Raw genomic sequence first — 18,287 nt, 5'->3', positions numbered from 1 at the left:
CTTTTGGAGAGATATTCAATGGATTTTACATTCTTTTTGTTTGAGACAGGGTTTTGCTCTTATACCTAGGCTGGAGGACAGTGGTGCAATCACAGCTCGCTGCAGCCTCAAACTCTTGGACTCAAGCAGTCGGCCTTGGCCTTCTGAGTAGCTGGGATTACAGGCGCACCACACTTGACTGTTTTTGTATTGTTTGTAGAGATGGGGTCTGGCCATGTTGCCCAGGCTGGTCTCCAACTCCCAGCTCCAAGCGATCCTCCTGCCTTGGCCTTCCAAAGTGTTGGGATTACAGGCATAAGCCATTGCATCCTGCCGGATTTTACATTCTTTATTCTTTTTCTTTCTGAGATAGAGTCTTGCTCTATTGCCCAGGCTGGAGATTGCAGTGGTGAGATCATAGCTCACTGCAGCCTCAACCTCCTAGGCTCAACCCATCCTCCTGCCTCAGCCACCTAAGTAGCTGGGACTACAGGCACATGCCATCATGCCTGGCTAATTTTTTTATTTTTTATTTTGGTAGAGATGAAGTCTCCCTATGTTACCCAGGCTGCCCTCGAACTCCTGGGCTCAAGTGATCCTCCCACCCAGGCCTCCTGAAGTGTTAGAGTGACAGGTGTGAGCCACCTCACCCAGCCGGCATTTTACATTTTTGAGGGCTTGGTGTTCTTCCTTGTCTGTGCAGTAGTGAATGCTCAAGCCTGCAATCTTATTGAGAAAGTGGTGGCCATGATGAATTGTGATTGGGATATAGAAAATCCATGTAGAGCTCTTGTTTTCCTCACTTGTTCCTTTGAAAAGTTGCAGTATTTTCCCCTTATAACAGCCAGGAATGGCCATTCAGGAAAGCAGCCGCAGGCCGTTTGATGAGAAGACACGAGCTCTTCCCTCCCTGTTTCTTCCTCTTTTAGAGATCGCCCGACACTTCCGCTTTGGGAACCAGGAGGACGCGCATGAGTTCCTGCGGTACACCATCGACGCCATGCAGAAAGCCTGCCTGAATGGCTGTGCCAAGTGCGTGCTTCCCCACCCACCCTCCCAGGGCTTTGGACACCTTTTCTACATGGTGGCAGCAGAACATTCCTATGGCAACAGCCAGCCCGGCACCTTTCTACCCAGGCTGCCCTTGGGTAGACGTGGCAGAATTTGCCTCTGGGTACTCAAACTGTTGGAGCCCAAATAGGGGATTGCCCTTGCTTCCTGGGAAAGGGCTGTCTCCGGAGACGTCCTGCTGGTCCGGGGCGGCTTGGTAGGATCGGGTGGCTGTGGTGGCGGCAGCTGTGTCTGAGCAGCTCAGTCAGGGGGAAATATGTTAGCAGACCTTCTTAGGGGCATTCAGTTCTTACCATGGACTTTTTCAGTCTCTTAAAAATCATGTCGTTTTTGAAAAGAGGTTGGGGTGGTAGGAATGAGGTCTCTGCAGTATAATTTATATGTACATGTATATGTACAAACAGGGAGCTTTAACATGAGGAGGTTTATAACTTTAGGATCTGACTGTGCCTGGCTGCTGTTTCTTATTCACACGCCACGTAAGCCCTTATATGTGATGGTTGCCATCACAAATTGTCTTTGTGTCATTCCTGAGTTCATAGGTTCAGACCAAAGAAAACAGGCAGGAAATGCTTAGGACTTCCTTGTATTGCCTCAGCTTAGGATCGTAGAAATACTTTAAATAGTTTAGGGAATATACCTAGAATGTTCTTTAGAGAAGTTGAGTTGTGGCAATAAGTGATTGAAATGGCAAAACTACTGGCCTCAGTGGATGATATTCTTACGTAAATAAGACTTACAGAAAGAAAACTGCTTTTGAGACAGGAGTCTTGCTCTGTCGCCCAGGCTGGAGTGCAGTAGCTGGGATTACCACCGTGCCTGGCTAATTTTTGTATTATTAGTAGAGACAGAGTTTTGCCATGTTGGCCAGGCTGGTCTCCAACTCCTGGCCTCAAGTGATCTGCCTGCCTTGGCCTCTTAGTGCTGGGATTACAGGCATGAGCCACCATTCCTGGCTTAAGAAAACTTACTTAAATCACTTATATGAAGGCAACTTTCACTGCACTCCTAGGATGCATTCCTTTTTGTCTGTTTTGAGGGTTTGGTCACGCGTTCTTCCCCTTCTCCTGAAGGGGCTCAAGCTTCCTTGCTCCCTGTATGATCCCAGGTCTGCCCTTCAGTGAACTGGGTAATTGAACTGCTGTTCCCTGTGTGCTGGGCCCCATAGCTAGCACTGGGAACTGAGAGGTAGAAGCCATGGTCCTGGAGTCTGTGGAGCTCATGGTGTAATTGGTGAAGACAGTGGACCCCAGCAGCGTTTGCAATGTGGTGTGGCCAATGCTGTGATAGAGGGATATTACCTCACCCAGAGGCGGCTTCCTGGGAGAAGTGACCCCCGAGGGCCTGCAAAGGCAAGTAGGTGTCCCCAGGAGGAGGGTTGCGGTGTCCCCAGCACCTGCAGGGGGAGTGCAGCGAGCCTATAGCAGGGGGCCTGGCTCTGGGCACAGGGTGCAGCCACCTGGAGCGCTCTTAGGACAGAAACTGACCCCTGGGCTTCAGTCAGTCCAATTAACCAGAGTCTACGGTGGAAGAAATTCGTGAGGAGTAGGATGGGAGGTAGAATGAATAACGGTTTGGATTTGGGGCTGTGAGATGGGAGGAATGCAGGTCTGCGGTCTGGGCATTGGGGTGGGTGGTGGTGAGCCATTCGTTGGTACCAGGATTGCTGGAAAGAGGAGGGAGGCCAGGTGTCAGGTGGCCAGGCATTGCCAGGGGAGAGATGAAGGCTCACCAGATGTCGGTCCATGAGGGAGCTTTCACTGGTCTGTAGTGAAATGTGGAGTGAGAAAAAATAAGAATGACACCAATGGTGAGCTTCTCATAAAGCAAATTATTCCATTTAATTTGCAGGTGGAGGGGCCTTTTTGTCTTTTGCTTCTGTAGATGACTTTTGATGTTACTTGCATTATGATCAGAGCGTGTTGATAATATTTCTACTTCATGGAACTTCCTGATGTTTTCTCCGTGATTATAGGTGACCAGCGTTTGTGAATGTTTCCTGCATGCTTGGCGGTGGCTGCTGAGACTGCCAGGGTGTTGGTTTGCTCCTCTGTCCATGGATGGGTCTACTGATGATGCAGTTTTCATTTTCTATATCCATGTGCTCTTGTCCCCTTCATCTGTTTGGAATAGTGTGTTAAGTCCATGATTACTGGAATTCTGGTGGGTGCCTGTCTCCTTGCATCTCCTCTAGTTTTGCTCTATACAGGTGGTTGTGGTTAGATATTCGTAACTGTCATGTCTTCATTGAGGATCGTTGCTTTTAGCATTCTGAGTGTCTTCACTTGTCACGTGGAGTGGCTTTTGTTCTGAATTCTGCCATGGCCAGTGTCAGTGCTGCAGCCCCTGCTTTTGCAGGGTTTCCGCCGGCCCCTTGCTGTCACTTTCTGAACCCTTTCTTAGAGGCGTTCTTAAGATCTGTCTTGTTTTGTAAGCCAAAATGACCATCTTTTAATAGGCAGGTTAAGCCCCTTCACATTTCCTGTTATGACTGAAAAGTTTGGTCTCAATTCTGTCATATTTATGTATTTTATAGTAATTATAGGTAGCATATTTACTGTGCTTATTTCTGATTTTTCTTTATTTCTCAAATTTCTTTGGATATTAGGAAGATGTGTGTTTTTGTTTTAATGGCTACCTTTGTACATAAACCATTCTTTTTGAGACAGGGCCTTGCTCTGTCTCCCAGGCTAGAGTGCAGTGGTGCAATCTCCGCTCACGGCAGGCTCCACCTCCTGGACTCAAGCAATCCTCCTGCCCAGTAACTGGAACTGCAGGCACGCTCCATGCTGCCTGCTGGTTTCATACGCCCTTTTGAAATGCACCTGGTCCTGTTTTCCTCGCTCCTCACTGTCTGATTTGGCAGTCCACCGTGGTACCCTTTACTTCCTAGCTCTTTTCCTCTCCTCTCTCTCTTGCCATTTTAGCGTGCATGATTTCATTTTTTTTGTTGGCACCTGTAAGGTGGTATCTTTTTCTTGCCCAGCCTTGGGTTATGGTTACATCTTCCCATTGCTCATTGCCCACCCTCCAGTTGGCACCTCTGGTGCGCTCCTGGCTGGGTGAAGCCCGGCCTCTCATAAGTTCCTCCAGGAGGGCAGCTGTGTGTGGCACTCTAGTTCCAGAAATGAGGCCACTCTCACTGTGTTGAGGACGTTCGGCTTGGAGTTTTGGTGGCTGTGTCCTTGGCATCATGTCTGTTTTCTGGAGCTAGTTTGCATCCCATGAGGTGTTTTGATTCTTGTTCATTGCTGCTTTGTGCTTGAAGCACTTTGCATAGACTGGGCCTGCTTTCATTTATCTTGTGGGTCGGCTGGTTTTCAAGATTCGTATCCAGAGCGCCTCCTCTGTCTGCCCCGTGCAGTGCACTTTCATGGTTGGCTTTTCCTCTGGCAGCAGAAGGGTCGATAGTCTAGGATAGTTTTGAGTTTTTTTCAGGACCCTGATGTTTCCCCTTTTGCCTCTCTTGCCCTTCACTGCCCTTCTAAGGCTGCCTGCCTGCCTCTTTGCCTTCTCCCCCTGAGAGCCCATGCCTGTGGAGACTGCTACTCCAGCTGCGTGCCTGTGAGACCCCATATTCAGCACTTCACTTCAGGGTGCCCTTTGCAGCTGTGATTCCGGGTGGCTCTCGGGCCACCTCCTGCCCCCTCCTCCATTCTTGCCCAGCTGTTCTCTACTGCCCTTTGTCCCCAGGCTCAGTGGGATGCCTGTGGGAGCTCGCTGTCACTCAGCTTGCCTTTCCTCCTCCTGGGGAAGGTGACAGTTGTGCTTCCTCTGCTTTGGGTTATGCAAGAGGGGATTCCTTGTGGCCCTGCGGGCGCTGGTGCTTGCGGGCTTCTGGATGACAGAGGGGTTGTGGGGGTGGTCTGGATTTTGGTAGCCGCCATCACACGCAGCTACCCACAGTTCTCAGTCCATGCAGAGATTACGTCCTTGCTAGTATTTGCAGTTAAAAGGTCACTTTTGAAGAATGGTGGGACAGTAGATGGTGGCAGTTGATTTTTCATTTTCTAACTTTGCAGAATAAAAATTGAATGATCCTGTATTGGTCCCCCAAGTATTTCAGAGCTCCCGGAGTCTGGGAAGTGCCATGGTAAATAGTCACACAGGCCAGATGAGAGACTGAGGTGTGCATGTTCTGTGGGAGGGGAAGTGTAGCCTGCGGGTGTGGAATGGTCTGGGTGGCCGTGGGAAACGTGGAGAGAGCCCTGGAAACAGCCCCGCTTTGTGCCAGTGAGGAGTCGGGGAAGCAGCTGGGGAGACGGGGCTGGAGAGCCTGGGGAGAGGGGAAGCTCTTCTGGAGGGAGTGGGTGCACCGGCGCACTGCGCAGCCTCCTAGTAAAGGGCCTGCAGACCCAGCTGGCCTCATGCCTGGAGGCCTTAGGCGACTCTGAGGAAGGCAGTTCCAGAGCAGTGAGTCAGGACCAGATGCAGTGGGTTGCAAGTAGAACCAGGAGCAGAGACTGGATGTGGTGTATTGTTTCAGAACCTTCCAGCGTGAGTAGCTACCATATGGATACGTAGGCGTGGGAGGCGCCAGGCAGCCCCGGGTCCGGGTGAGAAGAGGCCCCAGAGCTCAGAGTGCCTCAGATCCCAGTTAGTGAGCGGTGCGGGGGACATGAATGAGGGCAGGGCTCCTGACCCCGAAGCCCACGTCTGACTCCGCTGTCCTCTCTGAGACGGGTGCAGAGCCGGGGAGATTTGGTCCTGTTTGTGCCTTTGTTCCCACCCCCACCCCTCTTCCCAGATTGGGGACCAGCTGTCTGTGACCAGCAGAGAAGTGGAAGGGTGGGCTGGGTGGGCGCCCTAGCTCAGGGGGATGTTTGGCCTCCCGCCTCACTCTAGATTTGGGTACTTACTTTTTATTGAGACCAAAAAGAAAAGGCAACACTGGGTGAGGATACACGTACATTTCTCGGGGCTTTTATTTTCTGTGAAGTGGGTGGCAGTGGGCATTGTGAAGGTTTGAAATGGCTACTGTGGGTAGTGGGGCCCTGAGGAGGTCAGAGCTCTGCAGAGAGACTGCCAGGCAGCGTGGGCTGAGGATGGAGGTTAAGGGTCTGTGGTGACTCGGGTGGGGGGTGGAGTTTCCCAGCCTCACGCTGAGCTTGTGACTGGTGGGCATGGGGCTGCTGGGATGGGGCCATCCCTCGTGTCATCTTGCTGAGCCCTTCCCTTAAAGGCTGGGGTCTCCTTTTCAGGTTGGATCGTCAAACGCAGGCTACTACCTTGGTCCATCAAATTTTTGGAGGGTATCTCAGATCACGCGGTAAGTGGAGACGTTTGTTCTACTGCTTCTTGCCAGGATTAGAACATGAACCCAGGAAACCCTAAGAGTTGGAACGCAGGCTGGGGCTCTTTCTTCGCTGTGCAGACCTGGGTCAGTCTCTGAGGTCTTGAGCCATGGTTTCCTCTGAGACTCTTGGCCCGCCTGGCCACTGGAGCAGTTGTTAGAATATTCCCACGAGGGCTGGGTGTGGTGGCTCACGCCTGTAATCCCAGCACTTTGGGAGGCCGAGGCAGGAGGATCACCTGAGGTCAGGAGTTCGAGGCCAGCCTGGCCAACCATGGCCAACATGGTGAAACCCCGTCTCCACTAAAAATACAAAAATCAGCCAGGCGCGGTGGCACATGCCTGCAATCCCAGCTACTTGGGAGGCTGAGTCAGGAGAATTGCTTGAACCCAAGAGGTGGAGGTTGCAGTGAGCCAAGATCCCACCACTGCACTCCAGCCTGAGTGACAGAGCAAGACTCTATCTCAAAAAAAAAAAAAAAAAAAAAAAAATATATATATATATATATATATATATATATATATTCTCATTAGGAAGTGCCGTGCACGCGTGCAGGGAGGAGGCAGCTCTTCCCTCTGCTCTCCCTCAGCAGGAGAGTACCGCACGTGGTGGTCAGCAGTCCAGGCAGGGAGGGCCCTGTGAGTGCAAAGATATTGACATCCATCTTTGTGAACTTCAGTGGTGAAAGAGAGCTCTCTGTTCGGACACCAGGATGCTTCAGGGGCTAGTGGGAATCTCATCTTTGGCCAAAGCCCTGCTGAGAGTCTGCCTCCCTGCTGGGTCTCGGTCTTGGGAGCTGGGAGTGCCTCTGCCAGGCCCCACCTGCTCCACTGCCTCTGTTCTGTTGCAGTGAAGTGCTCCGTGTGCAAGAGCGTCTCGGACACCTACGACCCCTACTTGGACGTCGCGCTGGAGATCCGGGTACAGATCTGTCCTGCCCTTCACTTTTGCAGTAGGAGAGCGAGGCCAGAGGGTGAAACAGAACCCGCAGAACAGTAAAGGCATCAGATCAAAATAGATAGGGAGAAAACTCCTTTGCTCCCTGCCGCCTTGCAGTACAGACCATTGTCTTTACCTGTTTTTTTCTAGAGTTTTTCCTAAGCGTATCCTTTTATTTAAAGAAAAAAATGGTAAAATTGGGTTTTGTGTCCTGAAGCATGAACAGGAACAACGCTGTCCCCAGGGCTTGAGGAGAGTCTGTTGTGTGCTCTGGGCGGCGTGCAGCCTTTGGAGCTTGGTGGCTCTGTGGGCCTCACCTGGGAGAGCAGCCTTGGCTTTGTCGCACATCCTGCTGCAGCTACAGGGTGCGGGAGGGTGGTCTGCCTTTGCTGGGCCAACCCAAGCTCCAGAGCAGGTCCAGCTACAAGATCATCCTGATAAAAGTGACTGATTCATGGCAGACCTGCAGCTGTCATTTCTTTGCTTTGCTTTTTTTTTATAGGGGCTTGAGGGACAGGGTCTTGCTCTGTGGCCCAGGCAGGAGTGCAGTGGCGCAATCATAGCTCACTGTAGTGTTGACCTCTAGGCTTAAGTGATCCTCCCACACAGCTGGTACTACAGGCATGCACCACCACGCCTGGCTAATTTTTTAAATTTCTTTGCAGAGACAGGGGTCTTGCTATGTTGCCCAGGCTTGTCTCAAACTCCTGGCCTCAATGATCCTCCTGCCCCGGCCTCCCAAGGTGCTGGGATTATAGGCGTGAGCCGCTGTTCCTGGCTGCTTTCATTTCTTGTCTCTGGAGAAGGAGTCCCAATCTGGCAGCTAGTGGGCAAATTTTTATGCGAGTCTAAGTTCTGTGATTTGCTGCCTCAGCCTAAAAAAGACCTTAAATTTGGCATTTCTTGAATCAGCCTTTTTCCTCTGCTGTGTATTTTACTCCCTGTTTTTGTCCTCCTCAGCAAGCTGCGAATATTGTGCGTGCTCTGGAACTTTTTGTGAAAGCAGATGTCCTGAGTGGAGAGAATGCCTACATGTGTGCTAAGTAAGTTTCACGTTGCTTGTGGCAGAAGACTGATACCAGACGGGAAATAAGTCCCCTCACCTGACAGTGTTGTGCCCACCCACTCTTCCTTAGCGGTGACCGCTGCTCGCATTTCTTGAGGAACCTATGTGTGTCCTAAAAACTCAAACTTCTAAATAACACGAATGAAGCAATAGCTATGATTTTTATAGCTACAGTTTACACCATACCTGTTCTAAAGATGCCGCATATATTGTGCAGTAGGGGCTGTGGTTTCCCATTGCTAGGGATGGTGAAACTGAGGCACAGAGAAGTGAAGTGACCAGCCATGGGGCCACACCAAGAGGACGTGGCAGAGCACGAGCTCACATCAGTTCACACTGGCTGGCACCGGGCGGCCGCCCCAGGGACTGTGCCCAACCAGCTGCTCTCTTGCCTCTTAAGGAGTGTTTTCTTTGGCTTTCATTTTTTACTTAACTGGTTTTGGACATTTTTCCGTTTCTGCAGATAGAACTCTTACTTTGTCATTTGTTGCATTTTTAGTAGTGACAGGGTTTCACCTTGTTGGCCAGGCTGGTCTCGAACTCCTGAACTCAGGTGATCTTCCTGCCTTGCCTCCCAAAGTGCTGGGATCACACTACTACAGCCGGCTGAATATCTTTATATCTAGGTCCTTGTAAAGCTGTAGGCACTAAAGAATATATTCTTAATTCTGCTTTACTCTTCTTTAGGTCTGTTTCCTGCAGCTCTCCAAGCTGCGCGCCTCTGCTTCTGTTTTCTCTCCCTGTGTTTGCGCATCTTCTAGCTTTGCTTACGTTGACTTCCTGCCTGCCCGTTTTATCACTCAGCCACATCTGCTTTAATTTGCTCTTTCCTGTGTTGGCCCAAAGCAACTTTTTCCTGTATTTTATTTAGTTTCCTGGTGGGTACAGTACTTTTATTTTTTTGCTTTAGAATCTTCCCACTTTCTGTAGTCTTATTTCCCTGTGGTAGCTTTCCTTTACTTGAGGCATGCTTAATGTGATTTTGAGAGGAGCAGAAGGTCGAAATCTCATTGATGAAGATTCCACTATTACAGAGCAGTTGTTGCTGTTATTAACTTAGCGTTAAGACAACATTTTTCAGAGCACGAATCAATCATTCATTAATCTTTCTCATCACCTTCTTCATAGATGCAAGAAGAAGGTTCCAGCCAGCAAGCGCTTCACCATCCACAGAACATCCAACGTCTTAACCCTTTCCCTCAAGCGCTTTGCCAACTTCAGCGGGGGGAAGATCACCAAGGTGAGCGCTCGTGACACCATCCCAGGCAGCTCCGTGGGCCACAGTCGGCATCAGAATAACACGAAGAAAGTGATAGCCACGAGTTTGATAGCTGCTGTTTACACAGTACCTGTCCCTGTTCTAAAGGTTCTACACATATTGTGAAGTAGGGACTGTAGTTTCGCCCTTGTCCAGGACGGGAAGACAGTCACAGAGAGGGGAAGCAACCTGGGACGCCTTTTAAAAATAGACGTTTCTGGGTTTATCCCAGTGCCAGTGAATTTGAATCTCTGGAGGACAGGGCCCAGGAATCTGCATTTTTGCAAAATCCCTGAATGCTTGTTATACACAGTCAAGTTCCAGGGCCACTGTCTTAATGGATTTACCGCAGCTTCTGGTTGTGCTTGGGCTGGTCCTGGCAGGGACTTTCAGGGTTCTCCAGATGAGTGTGATGAGCACTGGGCGGTGGGACTTGCATTGTCCATGTCCTTTTGATGTCTAGAACAGGTGCCGTTGCATGCTCTGGCTTTTTATGAAATATGGAGTTTAGAAAAACTACTTTTGACACGATGGTATTTTATTGTTTAAATTTCATTTTGTTTTAAGACAGGGTCTCACTCTGTCACCTGGGCTGGAGTGCAGTGGCATAATCAGCGCTCACTACAGTCTTGACCTCCCAAGCTCAAGCGATCCCCCTGCCTTAGCCTCCTGAGTAGCTGGGACTGTGGGCACATGCCACCATGCCTGGTTAATTTTTTAAAAAGTTTTTTGTAGAGACAGCATCTTGCTGTGTTGCCCAGGGTGGTCTCAAACTCCTGGGCTCAAGTGACCTGCATGCCTTGACCTCTCACAGTGCTGGGATTACAGGTGTGAGCCACCATACCTGGCCTATAGTGGCATTTTCATAGAAGATGTGTTTCTTTTTTCTTTTTTCTCTTTTTTTTTTTTTTGAGACAGAGTCTTGCTCTGATGCCCAGGCTGGATTGCAGTGGCGCTGTCTCCACCTTCTGGGTTCAAGTGATTCTCCTGCATCAGCCTCCAGAGTAGTTGGGATTAAGGCGCCCACCACCACACCTGGCTAATTTTTGTATTTTTAGTAGAGATGGGGTTTTGCCATGGTGGCCAGGCTGGTCTCGAACTCCTGAGCTCAGGTGATCCGCCTGCCTCAGCCTCCTAAAGTGCTGGGATAACAGGCATGAGCCACCGTGCCCAGTAGATGTCTGTATCTCATAAAAATCTAGAGTTCTGTTCTGAGAGCCTGGTTATGTGGTTTGGAATGACACCCTTGGCTGAGCCTCCGTTTCCTCACTGGTAGTGGTGGGGGCTTGCTTAGGTCAGCATTTCTCAAATGTGTTTGCAGATTCTTAATGTCGTAGACTCAGGTGTCGTGTAACCACAAGGGCATGTTTTAAGAAATGTGTCACCAGGCAATTCTGTCACTGTGTGAACATCATAGAGTGCATTTACACAGACGTAGATGACGGAGCCAGCTGTATGGTATAGCCCATTGCTCCTAGGCCACAAACCTACACAGCCTGTTCCTGTCCTGAATACTGTAGGCAGTTGCAACACAATGGGAAGTATTTGTGTATCTAAACATAGAGAAGGTACAGTGAAAATGCAGTATTATAATCTTATGGGATCGCTGTTGTATATGTGGTCTGTCATTGACCAAAACATGTTATGTGGCACATGACTGATGGTATGTGACGTTTAAGAACAGGCAAAATTAATGGTGACAGAAATCAGAACAGTGAATATTTGAGATGGGGGCAATGACTGGGATGTGGGAATTTTCTAGTTGATGTTCTGCATGTCCATCAGTATATACTTGTCAAAACTCTTTGATCTATATACTGAAGATCTATGCATTTCAACAAATCCCACAACTCAGTTTAAAAAAATGATTTAGGCTGGGCACAATGGCTCACAACTCTAATGTCAGCACTTAGGGAGGCTGAGGTGGGAGGATTGCTTGAGACTGGGAGTTTAAGACCAGCTTGGGCAACATAGTGAGACCCTGTCTCTACAAAAAAATTTTGGTTTTTTTGTTTTTTTTTTTGAGACGGAGTCTTACTCTGTCACCCAGGCTAGAGTGCAGTGGCACCATCTCAGCTCACTGCAATATCTGCCTCCCAAGTTCAAGCGATTCTCCTGCCTCAGCCTCCCAAGTAGCTGGGACCACAAATGTGTGCCACCATGCTTGGCTAAATTTTGTATTTTTAGTAGAGACGGGGTTCCACCATGTTGGCCAGGCTGGTCTTGAACTCCTGACCTCAAGTGATCCACCCACCTCGGCCTCCCAAAGTGTTGGGATTATAGGTGTGAGCCATCATGCCCGGCCTAAAAAATTTTTATTAATTGGCCAGTCATGGTGGCGCGTGCCTATAGTCCCAGCTACTTGGGAGGTAGAGATAGGAGGATTGCTTGAGTCCAGGAGTTTGAAGTTACAGTGAGCTATGAATGTACCACTGCACTCTAGCCTGGGTGACAGAGCGAGACTGTGTTTCTTAAAAAAAAAAAAAAAAATTATGCGTATGTTTTTCGGAGTTCCTAAACACACGTCTGTATATGACCCAGAATAATGGCAATCCTGTCATGTGGGCTCTGTGCTGTCCTGGTGCACTCAGCCTACAGCTGCCATGCCAGGCACTATTACTGCTAAGAATATATGTGTGTGCATGTATGTATATATGTGTGTGCACGTATTATATGTGTGTGTATGTATATGTGTGTGCATGCATGTGTGTATATGTGTGTGTATGTGTGCGTATGCATGTGTGCGTGCATGTATGTGTTGTGCATGTATGTATATGCGTACATGTGTATGCATGCATATGTGTGTGTGTATGTATATATGTGTGCATGTGTGTATACGATGTATGTATGCATGTATGTATATATGTGTGCATGTATTTTATGCGTGCATGTATGCATATATGTATGCATGTTATGTATATGTGTGCGTGTATTTTTTTCTATGAAAAATTGGTCAGTTTTGGGAAGACATTTTAGCATGACCTTTCTTCTGATCCAGTTGATTAAAAGTCTTACTTGCGGTAGCAGTTGGCTATATTAATTCAGCACTTTTATTTCTGAAGATCTAAAACCCAGCATTCTCTCCCTTTTCTCCCACCAACAATGTTCCTGTAAAGTGGAGGGAAAGAAAATGAGTGACCCTTCTCATTTGATCGTTAGGAACCAGGTGGTGAGAGAACTAATGGAGATGCTTGACAAAGACAAGAACAGATCCTGCATTGCTTGATGGGACAATAAAGTTTCCCATAGGCTGGCTGGAGAAGACTCACTTCTCAGCATCTTGGTGTTTTTTCTTTGTTTGTTTGTTTTGATTGTTTTGAGATGGAGTCTCGCTCTGTTGCGAGGCTGGAGTGCAGTGGTATGATCTCGGCTCACTGTAACCTCCACCTCCTGGTTTCAAGCGATTCTCCTGCCTCAGCCTCCTGAGTAGCTGGAACTACAGGCACGTGCCACCACGCCTGGCTAATTTTTGTATTTTTAGTAGAGACAAGGTTTCGCCATCTTGGCCACGATGGTCTCAATCTCTTGACCTTGTGATCTACCCGCCTCGGCCTCCCAAAGTGCTGGGATTACAGGCGTGAGCCACCGCACCTGGCCAGCATCTTGGTTTTTAATCATTGCCTGGGGGAGCTCCTGCACAGCGTTGCTGCACACCCATTCGCCCCAAATTGTCTTTTTCTTGTTTGTGGCGGGGCAGTTTTGAGACAGTCTCGCTCTGTCGCCCAGGCTGAGTGCAGTGGCTCGATCTCGGCTCACTGCAACCTCTGCCTCGCGGGTTCAAGTGATTCTTGTTCCTCAGCCTCCTGAGTAGCTGGGATTACAGGCAGTGCACCACCATGCCCAGCTAATTTTTTGTATTTTTATTAGAAGTGGGGTTTCGCTATATTGGTCAGGCTGATCTCGAACTCCTCGAGGTGATCCCCCTGCCTCAGCCTCCCAAAGTGCTGGGATTACAGGCGTGAGCCACTGTGCCCGGCCCCCAAATTGTTAAAGACCAGACAAGCTGGGCATTTTGTGTGGTTGTGGATGGAAAGGGCAAATTGATCTTTACTCTCAAAGTGAATTTTATTTGTCTTTTCCTTGATTTTTCAAACAGGATGTAGGCTATCCGGAATTCCTCAACATACGTCCGTATATGTCCCAGAATAATGGTGATCCTGTCATGTATGGACTCTATGCTGTCCTGGTGCACTCGGGCTACAGCTGCCATGCCGGGCACTATTACTGCTACGTGAAGGTGAGAGGCTTGTGTCAGTGCAGCTGCCTCCTGGGACAGGTTTCAGCACCCATGCACATCCAGATGCGGCCTCTGTAGAGCACTTACTTTGTGAAAAGTGTGATGTTTTGTGGTTGTATTCAAGTCCTCGTTGTTGCCTCTCTGCGTGGAGTGAAAAGATGCCCTTTACAGAAGTGTTGCACCAGAATCTAGTGTTCTCAGACTTGCAGGGAGACACGGAAGAGGCAGCCGCTTCTGGTGCCATCCTTAGAACCCTGGCAAAATCGGCCATGGTGATGACACTGCCTGAATGTCCTTTAGAAGGGACAGTTCCTATCTGTTGGGGCACTAGGAAGGAACTGGGACGCAGAGCACACTTTGGGGTCACATTCCGAGTTATGAAAATATTACACGTTTTAATAGAAGTTGTTACCTGTTGATTATTAATAGTGTTTGGAAATGTAGCAACTAACAGATTTTTTATTCCCTTTTTAAAAAGTGAGGATAATGGGATGCTTGTTGATTGTTTTGTTTTCTGCAACATCCTTGGCTGCTTCAGGCAAGCAATGGACAGTGGTACCAGATGAATGATTCCTTGGTCCATTCCAGCAACGTCAAGGTGGTTCTGAACCAGCAGGCCTACGTGCTGTTCTATCTGCGGTAATAAACTCACGCCCTCCCCAGATGAGCTCACTCCCTCTGCTCTTTTCTTATACCGGTGGGCCTCCCTAACCTTTTTTTGTTTGAAGGTAATTGGGAATTCCACTGGAGGGATTTGTCATGTGTCATAGAGACCGTCCACAGGGAAGGACACTTTTTAGTAAAGCCAGAGCCTTGGGAAGGTCAGGACAGGATCCCATCTGCCCTCACATTGATGCTGTTTTGAATGTAAACAGGAAAGTCACCATTTATAGTATTGCCCCAAATTAGAGGTACTGCTCCCTGGATGGTAGCCAGCCAATGCCCCTTCCCGTGTGGGGAAGCTGCCCCTGTAGGGATATGCTGGGAAGGACGTGTTTGTGGGGGTGCTGCTGCAGAGCTTCTCTGGAGGGGCCTTCTCCTGGAGCTGGCTGTCACTGACCTGGAGGCTGGAGACCGTGGCAGCTGAGGCATTTTTGCTGCTTTGTACGTCTCTGCAGAGTGTGGCTGAGGTGTTTGAGGTTCTTGCTTTCTGGTGCATTGAACTCTGATCTTGGAGGAATTCTGACTCTAATTTGCCCTTGCTCTGCTTATATTCAGCAGATACTTGGGGCTGATCTCTCAGCCTCACTGTGGTTGAAAGGCAAAGGGAGATTCCAGAGAAGTGGTTAGGACTGGCAGGGTTTCCCCAGGCCGTGTTTCTGCCTTTGCCCCGCCTTAACTTATTCTAATTCTCTCCGTTTCTGTAATGCCTAGTAAGAGAATTCCCTACTTGTTTTCTTCCTTTGACAGAATTCCAGGCTCTAAGAAAAGTCCCGAGGGCCTCATCTCCAGGACAGGCTCCTCCTCCCTTCCCGGCCGCCCGAGTGTGATTCCAGATCACTCCAAGAAGAACATCGGCAATGGGATTATTTCCTCCCCACTGACTGGAAAGGTATTTGTGAGAATGATGGAGGCCAAAGTGGCTGGTCTTGGTGCTCCTCACAGACCTCCTCACACTTGGGAAGTTGGCCACAGTGGAAGGAATTTGCAGGCAGTTTGCACTATTCTAGTTGATGTTATTTCTTTTCTTTTCTTTTTTTTTTTTTTTTTTTTTCGAGACAGAGTCTCGCTCTGTCATCCAGGCTGGGGTGCAGTGGTGCGATCTCCAATCTCGGCTCACTGCAAGCTCTGCCTCCCGGGTTCCCGCCATTCTCCTGCCTCAGCCTCCCTAGTAGCTGGGATTATAGGTGCCCGAACCACGCCCGGCTAATTTTTTTTGTATTTTTAGTAGAGACGGGGTTTCACCGTGTTAGCCAGGATGCTTTCGATCTCCTGACCTCAGGATCTGCCCGCCTCGGCCTCCCAAAGTGCTGGGATTACAGGCATGAGCCACCGCGCCCGGCCAATGTTATTTCTTAAACTGGTCATCAGCTGACATTGGCTATAGAGAAAGAGGAGACATGAATGAGAAAATTCTGACCCAACAAATTAGAATTGTCATTCACAGATCTGTTCTACTCATGAGACCAGCACCACTTACAGGTGTCGTGACAGGTGTGCCAAGCAAACTTTCTGTGTGCACTCCTTTTATTTCCTTTATAATGCCAAGCAAACTTTTTTTTTTGGAGACAGGGTCTCACTCTGTTACCCAGACTGGAGTACAGTGGCACAATCATGGTTCAGGGCAGGCTTGAGCTCCTGGATTCAAGCCACCCTCCTGCCCCAGCATCCCTAGTATTCGGGACTATCAGTGCACTACCACACCCAGCTAATTTTTAAATTTTGTGTAGAGACAGGGTCTCACTATGTTGCCCTGGCTGGTCTTAAGCTCCTCAGCCCAAGCAATTCTCCTGTCTTGGCCTCTCAGAGTGCCAGGATTACAGGCACCAAGCAAACTCTTAACCGTAAGCGTGTAGGAAAAAATATCCTTTTTTTTTTTTCTTTGAGACGGAGTCTCATTCTGTCGCCCAGGCTGGAGTGCAGTGGCGCAACCTTGGCTCGCTGCAACCTCCACCTCCCAGGTTCAAGCGATTCTCCTGCCTCAGCCTCCCGAGTAGCTGGGACTACAGGCGTGTGCCACCATGCATGGCTAATTTTTTTATTTTTAGTGGAGACGGGGTTTCACTTTATTAGCCAGGATGGTCTCTATCTGCTGACCTCCTGATCCACCCGCCTCAGCCTCCCAAAGTGCTGGGATTACAGACGTGAGCCACTGTGCCCGGCCTGTTCTCACATTTAACGGGGAAAATGTGAGTAGTTTGTACCAATGTTAATTTCCTGATTTGGGTAATTCTGCTGTGGTTATGTAAGAGAGTGTCTTTGTTCTTTGGAAATACACATGGACATATTTTGGGGTAAAAGAACATCATGTCTGCAATTTACTCAAATGGATCAGAAATAGAAATATGTGTATATGCATACGTACATAGTCATACATATATACACACGTACATATACATACAGAGAGAGGATGATAAAGGTTATGTGGTTACAGGTTAACCATTAGGAACTACCCTCTAAGTTACCTTTGTGTGTATTTGAAATTTTCTGCTAGAACTGTTAAGAATTCAGTTTCACTAAGTGGATTCATGAGCAGTTTCCTCATTAGAACACAGTGATCATTTGAAGTGGGGTGGACCCTCTTGATGACTGTTTCTTTTTTTTTTTTTTTTTTTTTTTTTGAGACAGAGTCTCGCTCTGTCACTGAGGCTGGAGTGCAGTGGCGCCATCTCAGCTCACTGCAGCCTCTGCCACTATGCAGCCTCCGCCTCTTGGGTTCAAGCGATTCTCCTGCCTCTGCCTCCTGAGTAGCTGTAATTACAGGTGCCCGCCAGCACTCCCGGCTAATTTTTGTAGTTTTAGTAGAGATGGGGTTTCACCATGTTGGCCAGGCTGGTCTGGAACTCCTGACCTCAAGTGATTCGCTCAGCTTGACCTCCCAGAGTCCTGGGATACAGGCATGAGCCACCGTGCCCGGCCTGGATGACTGTTTTTGATGGATCGTCTTCCTCTCCCTTTAGAATGAAGAGTTGAACCCCACACACAGGCAGTCAGGGCCTTTCACAGTCTGCAGGGGTTTTGGTCATTTACGTACATCTGTATTTCTCTTCACATTAAAGAAAATAGAAGCTGAAATTAGAAGCATTAGAATTGAAGTGGCAGTAAAATACATGATATAATTGCAAAGTTGGTGGTCACTGTAGCCCAGACTAGGAAGTTAGGAAGCAGCCTGGGCCTGGGACTGTGACTCATGTCTGTAATTCCAACACTTTGGGAAGCCGATGTGGGAAGATCAGTGGATCCCAGGAGTTCGAGACCAACCTGGGCAAAACCCTGTCTCTACTAAAAATGCAAAAGCTAGCCAGGTTTAATGGCACGTGCCTGTATTCCCAGCTACTCAGGAGGCTGAGGTGGGAGGATCACTTGAGCCAGGGAGATTAAGGCTGGAGTGAGTCATGATCATACCACTCCACACCAGCCTGGGCAACAGAGCAAGACCCTGTCTCAAAACAAATTTAAAAAGTAGCCTGGGCAACATAGATCCCATCAGCACAGAGAATATTCAGTAAGCTGTTGGGGGAGGATCACTTGAACCCGGGAGGTTGAGGCTGTATGCAGTGAGCCATGATCACGCTGGTGAATTCCAGGCAAGGTGACAGAGTGAGACCTTGTCTACAAAAAAAAGAAGAGGGGGGCCGGGCACTTTGGGAGGCTGAGGTGGGTGGACCATTTGAGGTCAGGAGTTTGAGACCAGCTTGCCAATATGGTGAGACCCTGTCTCTACTAAAAATACAAAAGTTAGCTGGGCATGGTGGCGTGCGCCTGTAATCCCAGCTATTCGAG

At 48.8% G+C, this 18,287-nt stretch overlaps 1 protein-coding gene across 35 annotated transcripts in view; it reads left to right on the top strand.

Moving 5' to 3' along the window:
* Positions 1-18,287, top strand: part of USP36 (ubiquitin specific peptidase 36) — a 54,059-nt gene that overhangs the window by 13,184 nt on the left and 22,588 nt on the right. For 29 of the 35 annotated variants that reach the window (NR_169582.1, NR_169585.1, NM_001385177.1 and 26 more), the window contains 8 exons: positions 909-1,011; positions 6,252-6,319; positions 7,195-7,265; positions 8,244-8,326; positions 9,478-9,589; positions 13,704-13,844; positions 14,383-14,483; positions 15,255-15,396. Coding sequence is in view for 30 of the 35 variants with exons in the window: in NM_001385177.1 (NP_001372106.1) it covers positions 909-1,011; positions 6,252-6,319; positions 7,195-7,265; positions 8,244-8,326; positions 9,478-9,589; positions 13,704-13,844; positions 14,383-14,483; positions 15,255-15,396 (821 nt within the window). In the remaining 5 variants the exon portion in view is untranslated. Of the gene's footprint in view, positions 1-908; positions 1,012-5,072; positions 5,144-6,251; positions 6,320-7,194; positions 7,266-8,243; positions 8,327-9,477; positions 9,590-13,703; positions 13,845-14,382; positions 14,484-15,254; positions 15,397-18,287 lie in introns of those variants that run through there. The other 6 variants (NR_169584.1, NR_169583.1, NM_001385179.1 and 3 more) reach the window with 4 other exon arrangements.

The sequence above is a fragment of the Homo sapiens genome, chromosome 17, assembly GCF_000001405.40.
Source record: "Homo sapiens chromosome 17, GRCh38.p14 Primary Assembly".
Classification (NCBI taxonomy): domain Eukaryota; kingdom Metazoa; phylum Chordata; class Mammalia; order Primates; family Hominidae; genus Homo; species Homo sapiens.
The sequence above is the reverse complement of the archived record's forward strand: the minus strand, read 5'-3'. Positions and strand labels throughout refer to the sequence as shown.